The sequence below is a fragment of the Homo sapiens genome, chromosome 3 (genome assembly GCF_000001405.40).
Source record: "Homo sapiens chromosome 3, GRCh38.p14 Primary Assembly".
NCBI lineage: Eukaryota > Metazoa > Chordata > Mammalia > Primates > Hominidae > Homo > Homo sapiens.
Window position 1 is genome coordinate 145900567 of NC_000003.12, and position 11914 is coordinate 145912480.

Sequence of the window (11914 nt, forward strand, 5' to 3'; positions counted from 1 at the left end):
CAAAAAGGTAATAGATCCCTAAACACAGACAGTCTCAAACACCCAAGTGTGACCAGACTAAAATCATTCCCGTGATACAGTTACAAATGAGTATGTGCCAGGCACTGGGGTTTTCTTGAAGTTCTATAAACAAAACGCAGAGTAAAGGCAGAGCCAAATATAATGTTAGTGGGGTAAACTCACATGATACCTAAGACAAAACCAATCCAGATCTGTACAAAGAAGAAATACACCAGAAATAGATGGAGGGAAAGCAACAGTTCTATCACCATTTTTAGATTTTTCTATCTGAAAATCACCTCAGAGATCAAGAAAGAAGCCTGGGAACCAAATGTCCATGAGATGTCTCTACTGAACAACTTATTTTGGTTAGTTTCATTGGGTAAATCTTCACGGGAATCTTAACAGGTCCTTCAGAAACTATAAAACAAACAAACAGATAAATAAATAAACAAGCAAGCCAACAGGGGAATTCGTAAACAATTTAGATCAATGAGTGAAGATTATCTTAACTTGCAATAAAGTATTGTTCAAGCCAGTTTAGCTTTCAGAACAAGTGGGTTTCTGGAATAAGGAATAAAGGCTGTATTTGGAATTTAAAGAAATATATTCCAATTCTTATTGGAGAGCATTTGGGTCAGTGTCTATACAAAAATAAGTTATATAATCTTTCATAAGAAAAAAACTAATCACAGCATACTTCAGCTTGTAGTTTTCAAAATTATAGATAGTAAGAACTAATTGAGGCAAAGAGAAAAAGAAAAAATGCACACACATATACATATTTAATATATGTTCTATTTCACATATAATGTGTGTGTGTATATATATACATACACACACACATTATATATATATACACACACACATATATATAATGAAATGTGAGTGCATTTTATTTTAAAGTTCTGTATATGTGTTATATAGGTAAAGACTTTTTAAAAACAATATTATAAAAATTCAAAATAAAATCTGAGCTAAAAAATATCTTACATTAATTTTGTATCCAAACCACAGTTTTTCTAGCTATTCAAGCATAAAATAATACACTGGGCCTAATACCTTCATCTGGATTTTGGAAACAAATACATGTTTTTCCATGGTTGTTTACAATTCTTCCCTTCAGTTGTCCCACAGAATAGCTCTAGATCTGAAACGAGTTTGCATTCTAAAACCAAACTGAATCTGTCTAACTTCATCACTGCCACATTAAAATTATTCTTAATGATCATTTTTTATTTAACAATATATCTAACTTCATTACTCATTTTCTTCTAAAAATGTAATGTGACAAGTATGTTTCTAAACATAAATCTGCAATGAATTGCTTATTTAAAATACTCTGTTCTTCCAAGAAGAGACAAGCCTCATTAATTCAGACATTCAAAGGGGCAAAGATCAAAATAGTGACATATTTACAAATACATAAAGAAGTTATCATTTATAAGACATTTACTGAGCACCTATTTTGTGCCAGCCATTATGCCAAACACCATTAAAATGCAAATGTGAAGCTAGCAACATTATCCTTGAATAGCTTCTCCATAGTAAAGAACACAAACACAACCAAGAGTAAGCAAAATACACAGAAAGTGCCACAAAGCAAATATAAATGAAAAGCTGTGCATGTTCAGAATGATGACAAACTACCTCAGACTTAGAACTTTTGAAATTACTTTATAAGGTCTTCAAGAGTAGTAATGATATTGCCATCCATGAGCAGGGGAAAGTACTCCAAGGAGAGGCATGAAAAAAATGAAATGATCTAATATATTCCCTCATTTAAAAAATCTCAAGTATGCCCATTCCTATCTACAGCCACTGTCTAGTGTAAGCCACTGCCGTCTCTCACCAAGATTCCTGTAATTCTTGCTAACTGGTCTCCATCATTCAATCTAGCATCCTCCATCCCCACTGCCATAAATATATAGCAGCCAAAATAATTTTTTATTTTGATTTTTTAGTATATATTGGATCTTGTCACTGCTCTGCTTAAAATCCATCAAGGTTTTCTACTGCATTAGAATAAAATCTAAGCTCTTTATAAGAGCATAGGTAATCTGCTAATTCTTCTCACTTCAACCTCTATACTACTACTACTCAGGCCTGATATAGGGATCTTCTTTAAACTCTATTCCTCAACAAACTTACTTATTTGTAAAACCATATTTTTAAATGCTCACATACATTGTAGAACCAGAATCTATTTCGAATAGTATTTTTTAAGTTGGCCAGTTGATTGTTCAGTACCTTCTTTTTTACTCTGTTAGCAACATACAACTTGAGAGAAAAGATTGAATTATGGGCATATACATTTATTTACTAGATGAGCTTCTGAAAAACAAATAGAAATAGTATTTCTTTAAACTTAGAATCACAGTAGAATTGCAAAAAAAGACTTCCTGTACTCATGGACTAGTTAATTCAGACAGATATTTCCAGTGAGAATAACTGGAAAAAGCATTCTAAAAATTATATGTCTAAGCTTATAGAAAATAGAAAGCTAAAATGGCCATCATATAGAATTATTGGGCTAAAGTTTGAGAGACAATGGAAATTCAGGGATGTAATTCAAGTATTTGAGAGCATGTTCCTTTTGGGGCTTAATTATTCCAGAGGCAGGAGGGAGGCTGAATGGCTGAGCAGGTTCATGAGACTAGGGAGAAAAATGTGAGTACAAAGCAGCCAAGAGGTTTGTTTCTAAACTCTCATGCTCAGGATAGGAGCTGAAGGGTTACACATTAGTGATCTATCAGACCACATAGGGATTGATTGCATCCTAACTTGGAATTACTTCACTTATTAAAATTGGATTACAGAGATCCCCAGGTGGTGTAGTTACTATAAGTATCATGCATAAGCAAACAAAAGCCCTCTGCGGAGGAGGCTAATGTCATCTTAGGCCTCAAGTTAATTCTGTAAATAGTTTTTCAAATACAATGTTTGGCATGAAATGAAAAATAATCAAGTCTATTGATGGCAGCAGCGGGCAGTCTGGAGTGGCAGCTGCCATCACACCAGCTGCAGCAGGGAGACGTGGCTGGGGCTGCATGCTCCACGGAGCCTGCAGGAGCTGGGGACAAGTGAGCCCCAACCCTTCCAAGTTGGAGCAGGAGCCCCCTGGGTGCCGCTGCAGCCACCCAAGCCAGGGCTGCAGACCAGGTATCCCTGTGGCCTCAGGGCCTGGGAGCAGGTGGGAACCCAGGGCTCCTGGGTGTAACTGCAGCTGCTTAAACCATGCTGCGACCTGGGCCTCCTGCTCCACAGAGCAGGCAGGAGCCCCACACCCCGGCCCTGCCCGTGCAGCTGCATCCGCCCAAACCGTGACTGTGGACCCAGGCATCTCTGCACTCTAGAGGGCCCAGGAAGTCCTCCTCTGCCTTCGCAGGCTTGGAATCGTTTGTTCCCACTGCCTGGATTTTCCCTGATGTCGGCCCCTGTTCCAATCTTGAAGGAAAATTGGGCCCAGCCCAGGGCTGTCACAGCCTGGCTGGGTGTGCACACACTGGAGGCACTGTTGACACACCAGCCCCCTGCCACATCAGCCCCCTCCAGACTTTGGGCACCAATGAGCAAAGGAGGGATGCCAATGGGGAGCTGAGAGCAGCTCAGAGCTGGCCTGCAGGCACCCCCATGGCACCCATAGCCTGGGCGCCATGAATAGCAGCAGCAGGCAGACAGGTTCCTGGGCAGAAGGTTGTTGTCTCCAGTGAGGGTCCGCCTTCAGGCCATGGACGGCCTGAAGGCTGGGGCCAGGCTGCAGACTGGGGACATGTGATGCCCTTTCCTGGTCTACCCATGGTTGCCCATGGACCTATCTGCACGCACTTCCTCCCCTCTGAAGCCCATAACGGTGGCTCAGCCAGAGCTGAGCAGATGTCAGAATGACCGACTGCAGAGAGGGACAACCCACTCTGGGGCCTCCTCTCTGCTGAGAGCTGCACAGACGATGGGATAACCAGCTGTAGAGAGGAGCTTCCCTCTCTGCTGATAGCTGAACACTTGTTGGAATGACTTGCCTAGCAGAAAGGAACTACCCTCTCTGCTAGGAGCTGAACACTCATTGGGACACCCTGGCTGTGGAAAGGAGCTGACCCCTATGGGTTTCCTCCGAGCTGTTCTATCACTCAATAAAGCTCCTCTTCATCCTGCTCACCTGCCACTTGTCTGCATACCTCATTCTTTCTGGTGGCAGGACAAAAACTCTGGACCAACTGAATGGTGAGGCTAAAAGAGCTGTAACACAAAAAGGGCTGAACCATGACCATTGCTTGCCACGTTGTGGGTGAAGAGTAAGAAAGAAGAACTGCAGCCCTTCGGGGAACCACATCTGGGCACTCTCCGAACCAGGGCTGTGGCCCCTCTTTAGGGCCCTGCGGTTCCTGGCATGTCCAAGTTTCTGCGTTCCTCTGTATTCCCCAGGTCACTGTTGAAGCTCCTTGTGGTGCGCCTAGTCTGGCCACAGCCTCACAAAGAACCAGCATTCCTGCCAGCAACAGGAGCTGCACACCCCTCTGCAGCAGTCGGCATGTCTGATTGGGCCCAGTGGCCATAACCCATGCTTGTTCACACACCCCTCACCATTCCATGCCTGACTTGCCCTTAGCCAACATAGGACAAAGGCTGGTAGTGTGATTCAAGTACAACCTGCCAGGCTGAGTGAGTGAAATAAGCCCAGTGGGCTGAAGCAAAACTCAGGCAAAGGCATCGCTGACCACAGAGATTTCTGGCCAGAAAAATGACACCCCAAAGATCGCGTAACACTGTGAGGAGATTAAGCACCATGAAATAAGAACTACAGAAATAACAAACAATAGAAATAGATCCATTATCTGGTAATGGAGCAAAAGTGCCGAAACATATTAAACTTTGCTAAGTAAAGGATAAATGCCGTAATTCCTAAAATAATAACTAAAAAAATTGAATGAATATATCACTTCTAAGGTTAATGAAGGCAAAAAAAAATAGAATAATAAATCAAATGCAAAGCAGTCTGGAAAAAAGAGAAAAGAAAATATCAAACAAGTGAGAGCAATAGAAAACAAACAGTAGTGTAATGTATTTAAAATAAACTATACCTGAAATTACAATTAATGTGAGTGAATTAATACTCAATTTCAAAACCAAAACTTGTCGAAATGGATAGATGCTGGAAAGAATGAAGGTAGGGACAGAGTCCCTGTGGTTAAAGGACAAGCAATACCTTTTGATAGATTTGTAATGTTGGGAAAATTATATCACCTCTCTAATTTTCTCTTTTCTCTCTGTAATCTTATGAATAAAATATATACAATCCACATCCCTGGGGATAGTTAGGCTGTGAGTTCATTTAGGCAAGGCCACTAATAGCTCCTAGTCTTCATCCTGTAAGATAAACATATTAGTTAAGGTCAAATTTTCTTATTTCAGATTCACTTAAAGTGAGGTGCATCTTTATTTTTAACAAGACTTCACATGATGAGGTCTACTTAGCTCTAAAGAGGACTAAAGCTATTATAATATATGAATTGGGTCATTGAAGTACAGGGCATGAAGCTTGGTAAATAATTAATACGAATAAGTATATCCTAATATATCCCTTTACATCTTTTATTGATATCATAGACTGAGTGTGGGAAGTAAGTGTGATTTTGCTGTTTTTGTGGGTCAGATTTTATCATATAAACATTTCAGTTTTAATCAGGCTGTTATTATGTTAATATATTTCATTAACAGTGGATATTTATTTTCCACACCTAGCAGCCTACAATCTTGAAAACTAATTTAAATAGATCTTTTTATAGCAAATCTGTGAAAACTGTATATATTCATTAAATTAAGGATCACTTTGCATGCCAGTACAACCAAATTGTATTTTGAAATGATGCAGGATAAACAACAGATGTGTCCAATATATTTTTTCTTCAGTTGCTAAGGCAACATTGTTCAGTCTTTAAAGGAGTTTCAAAAAATAATTCCTTTGAGCATTTGATTCAGTAAGACTGTGTCCTTTATATTTGCCATTTCAAGGTGGCCAGTGTGGTTCTGAAATATTCTAGCATTATATTATCTCTCCTAGATTTTATGTATCTGATTATTTTTGTCAATATAACAAGTTCTGATTCCCTTGGTACAATTTTGAACAGCTCTCCATATGTTTCCACCTTTCATCCACTATTTATTTACCTCCCCAAAGGTGGTCTAATATCCCATTCCTCATGCTGAGGATGGTAATTCTGATCATGGCCAGGAAAAATTCTGAAAATTACTGACTACATGCTGATAACATGCAAATTATCATGCAGTCACTATTTTCTTTTTTGTTGGCAGGGTGAGATGGGTTAGCAAGAAACATGGGGCCTCCCCCGAGAGCCCAGAGTGGAAACTTTCTGAGAACTAGTGAGTGGCTCCAAGTTCTCTGAAAATAACAACATAGCCTAAGGGAAGTTATGAGGAGAGAACCATCTCCTTTAACATAAAAAGCTTTTACAAAGCTAGACAATATCAATAGAAAATCAGATAACGTAACCATGACTCTAGAAAGAATCTGTTGGCTTACACAATTTGGCCTTATTACTTGGATGTCCTTTAGATCATTTTGGTATTTAAGAAAGACTTATTTGAACCATATTATAGAAAGGAGGTAAGAAAGAATTTTTTAAATTGTGCAAGGAGTCAATATGCTTATATGTGCAAGGAGCCAATATGCTTATATGTACAAGGCAAACTTAGGGTTAAATATCCCAAAATATTTTTTAGAAATAATTTTACCATAAAAGAAAAGCTCTTTATAAGTGATATTACTCTATGTGAGATTGTGCGATATTAATTAATACTTAGTTCTTTTCTGAGATACTTAAAGCTTCAGATAAAAATGATATGTTATTTTAACCTCTACACATATTACCTGTGTTAAGCATATTTTCATAACTTCATTACCATGTTAAACAATCTTCTTTGCTCTTGGAAAGTAAAAATAAATAAATAAATAAACATAAACAAACAAACTCATTAAAATTGCCTTTTACTAAAATGTGTATAATGCTAACAATTTTAGAAGGTGAATAATACATTCCATTATGAAAACATTAAAACTCTTTATCTGTTGCATATCAGTATAAGATTTATAAACAATACATCTCTTCTTCATCATGCAAATTTTAAAGGTAGAAATTCAGAAATATGCAGAATATTTTGAAGACTTCTCATTTATATAATGGGGGGAGAAAAAGTTCTGTTCAGTTGTTAGTTTATTTGAGTTTTCAGATTAAATTTAACATGTGCTTTAGAGGTGAGATTTTGACAATTGCATTTTCTCTAAAATGAATTCTTTTTTCCAAATTGGGATTTCAATATCTGTAACAAATCAAGATGTCTGGGTTTTATAAGAACAAAATAATTACTGGGGTAGTGATAGCAAGACAGCCCTAAATTTTAGCTAAACAATTTTGTGGGTTAAATTCCAATAGAAAAATAAGGAAATATTAACAGAGATGCTGAAATACAAGATAATAAGCCATTTCTTTGAAATAGATAAAAAAAATCAGCTAGAGAGATTTTTTTCTAACTTAAGTACTTTCATAGCTTTACGACAATAAATTTGAAATTCTATCTGGAATCTTTTTTAAAAAATACCAAATTCAAAATTTATCTTATGAAGAATAAGCAAGGTACTCACTATGGAAAATAAAAGATTATGGTTAAACGCTCCCCAAACCATGAATGAAAATTCAAGTTATTATTGACAAGTTCTACCAAACCTTCAGAAACAGATTCCAGAGCAGAGAATATATATGAACCAATGTCAAGTTCCAGAATTCCTGTTAAGACTCCTGTTATGGAAAAGGTGAACTTAGGATTTATTAAAAATTCAGAAACTGTCAAGGAGATGGCACATGCCACTATGACACATGCCAATGCAGTAAGGTCAAAAACAGACAAAAACACACAGGTATAAATATTTGAAAGTATTAGTCTCCTTAAGTATAATATTCTGTTTAGCAAATCCAGGAGAATAGTGTGTTGAATAAAATAGGACTAATGCAAGACTTCAGCCAACTCACTTGCTTCAGAATAAACATATAATTGATTAGTTTCCTATATAGTATTAACAAGAATCAATCAAAAATGTATTATTCAAAAGGAATCCAATTAAAGTAGCAACAGAATATATTTCTGAAAAACTCATTGTAGTACATCTAAAAAGAAAGATCTAATAAGGATATAAATCTCAATTGAAGGACATTAGAAAGGCACAAAATAATGGAGATACAGAACATGACTAGGAAAAATACACAATATTTTAAAGAGATCAATTTTTTCTCCATGAAAACTCAACAATAATTCAAACATCTTTTAAAACAAAACTTATCAAATTGATGTCCAACTTTAAAAAAAATTCAATCTGAGCCAGAAAAGATTTGAAGAGAAAAATGAGAAAGAATTTGCTATACCAAAATTTAAAACAGGCTATAAAATAATAAAATTTACACAATAGTCTGGTTTTGGTGAATATCAGACAAATATCAATGAAATGGGATAAAGGTGAAGAAATATATTTATATATTTGAATTTAATTAATAATAAAAATTACATTTTACATCAGTGTGTAAAATAAAGACTAGTCAGTCACAATTGTTTGATAACCTATCTATTTGAAGAAAAATAAAGTTAGACTGTTATTTTATTTTCAAAAACTTAACTCTCCATGGATTTAACATCTAAACAAAAAATTTTGAAATGAAATGTAGAAATATTAAACTGAAATATAGACCAATTTTTTTATGTCCTTGGCATCAGAAAAGCTTCAATGACAAAATATTAAGTGCAAAGTTTATGGAGCATAAGGTTTGTAATTTTATGTATCCCTAACTTTAAAATGTCGACACGACTAAATAAATCCTAAATAAAGTTCTAAAGTAAACGAAAAGAAAGGAGAAGATACGTTAAATGGATAAAGAAAATATATTCTGTCAAAAAGGTAGAGGGTAGGCAGACAAATTTTATTATCAGTAAATTCACAGAGGAAAAAACGTGAACTGAGTTATATTGTGTTATTTTTGCTCACTGGATGAGCAAAAATGACAGACCACATCAAGTGTTTCCGAGGAAGTAGAAAAAAGTGTACTCATACTCTGATGATGCAACTTTAATTCATACATAGCCACATTGGCCAGCTCTATTAATATTTAGAAAGTGTAACCCAGAAATCTAGTAGTTATCCATCCTACATGATTATGCATATATGTAAAAGATAGCAAACACAACAGATTAAAAAAAGGAAACGAGAAATTTCTATGCATAGGGATATCTAACTAACCTATGGCATACCCAAATGTTGAAATACGATACAGCAGTAAAAAGGAACGCAACAATATCATATTGTGATGTGAAACAATTCTTCAAGATTTGTAGGAAATAAAGTTATGAAAAAAATTTCAACATTTATTCGAATATATACAAAACACTTTTCTATATGTATTTATGTCTCCCAAGTTACATAGGAAATAATAACAATACTGAGGTTAACTTTTGAAGAGAGACTGGAATTTTTAAGTGGGCAGGCATACTTTGATTTATCTTCATGGTCTAATAGTTTTAAATGGAAATATATTCCAAATATTATTTTTATAAATCAAAAATAAATTATAAAATAACTTTTACAATGTCAGGACTGAGGGTAAATTTTACAAAATTAAATCCATCAGGTATTTAATGAGCTTGTAACTATGGCAAAAATTGTATCTCATTACTTAAAAAAGCAGTTCATTTTTATATGGCAATCCACACAAATTATGTTATATCAAGGCCATACTTTCATGCATGGAGACCACCTAAAAATATTCGAAGTTACTATTTATACCTCCATTTGGAGTATACACAGTACATCTGGGACTTATTTTTAATGTTATAGCAGGGCTTTTTGCAATTAAAGAGGGTTAATGAAAACAAAATAGAACTTAAATGACTCTTATCTTTACTCTGAAAGGTCCAAGAGAAAAACATACTGTTAAAAAATGTTACTCCTTGGGGTAATTGACTATTGTAATATTGTTCAATAGACCAAGACAGAAGTGAGTCGATTACTTGGAGCAAGCAACTTGTGTGAAGGAGGGTGATTTTTTTTAACAGAGATTGTGCCCTTGAGGAAATACAAAGGAAGGTGAAAGTGATAGTTCCAGAATCAGTTGGGAAAATTACTTTTTAAATTATGAAGTAGCTGCTTAAAGCTTTTGCTTAAAGCTTTGTCAAAGATTTGTGTAACTATTTCAATTCAAGCAATATTTATTTAGTGGATGTCTGTCAAGATACATAAGCATGATTATTCTTAAAATCTGTAATTCATAATCTGGCTGGGGAGATGAAGACTACAAGTACTAAATAATTAAGGAACATTAGAAGACTATATAATATTCTCAAGTATTAATTGATATGATGAACTATGCAATGCTATAGTAGGTCCATACTGGAATGCATCATTATTATCTGGAAATATTAATTTAATGAATAAATTGAAATGAGACAAGTTCTTATACTCAATCCACCTACCTAAATTTTGATCCCTACCATAACCTTGTGGAAAGCATACTCATCCTTGGATTGACTAATTCCAATGTGTGTCAGGAACTCACAAACCACTGGGATCCAGCTGAGAAGATTCTTATATGAGTCAAAATCTGTTTCCCTATGGTTTTCAGCCAAATGTCCAAACATAACATTTCAGAACTGATCTATGCAATATGGTAGGTAGCGTAACATGATGTCAGAGATGAAACTACTGTATTTCATTTAACAGATTAGTAAACTGAAGATAAAAGGAAATTGAATGTCTTAAAAGTTTCCTAGTTGATTTTTTGGCTGTATAATGACGGTAACACATTTCTTCTGAATCCTACTATAGCCCCACTGAAAAGTCTTCATGAAGAGATTTATCTTAAAAAAATGTTTCTGCCACCAAAATTTGAAAAAATAATAACCATTAGACTTCATGACGTAAAGGGAAGGCCAGAGAACACAGCCAAAGCCCTAATATTAAAATTATTTCATGGTGAAATATTATTGCTAGGACTCTTATCAACATACAAAATGTCAGGCACATGAAGACTTGCCTAACATAAATATTCAACAAGTTTTAAACTATACTAATATTTTGAATTAGAGAACTAATTCTTCTTTCCTATAGGCATCGTAAATGAGTTACATAGTGAAAACATCCAATAATTTTTAAAAGCCAAAGGGTTAAAATTGGAAAGGAAAAAGACAATTATTTTCTACGTAATTTGTGAGTCTGATTTTGATTTTCTTCCACATTGATTATGTTTGCTTGTTTATTTTCTTATATTTCTTCTATATTGACTATATTTCCTATATTGTATTCTTCATGTTCTGGCATTTAGGTCCTTAATCCTGTAGAGACTGCCTCTCCTCAGGCTAGCTTATTCATAGAGATGAAAAATTACTCCTCTTTGAGTATGCATTTGATAGGCACACCAACCAATCCAGAGCCCACACACCCAACCATCTCCTTTATCAAATTCTCTCACACCAAGCCAATATTCTCTCTGCCCTAAATCGCCCCAGGATAAAGTACTGGATAGTAGGTTCCACCCCTATAGCCCAGAGCCTGTTAAAATCTTTCAGACTAGCCTGTACTAAGCTTTACTCAGTGCACTTACCCTGCCTTACCCATTTCTTCCCATAAAAACCCCAATAAAACCTCAGGCCTCTCCCTCTCCCTCTCCTGCCTTCTAACCGACGCTGTTGCTTCCCCATGCAGCCCTGCATAGAATGGTGTGTTTTCTTTTTCTAGAGATCTGTGAGTATAATCTTTTTCCTTTATGACAATTATTTCCATGTCTACTGTCTTACCATACTGAATTAAAACACATCCCAGCTACATTGTAGAACACTTCTCCAACCTTTGAGATTTGGAATA

At 35.6% G+C, this 11914-nt stretch overlaps 1 annotated feature.

The window, feature by feature from the left end:
- Positions 3394-4168: an enhancer, noted in NCBI's record as "H3K27ac-H3K4me1 hESC enhancer chr3:145621747-145622521 (GRCh37/hg19 assembly coordinates)". NCBI's record gives its function as "activates a minimal SCP1, AML or CMV promoter by ChIP-STARR-seq in primed H9 embryonic stem cells {active_cell/tissue: H9 hESC(primed)}" and the evidence as "EXISTENCE:reporter gene assay evidence [ECO:0000049][PMID:30033119]".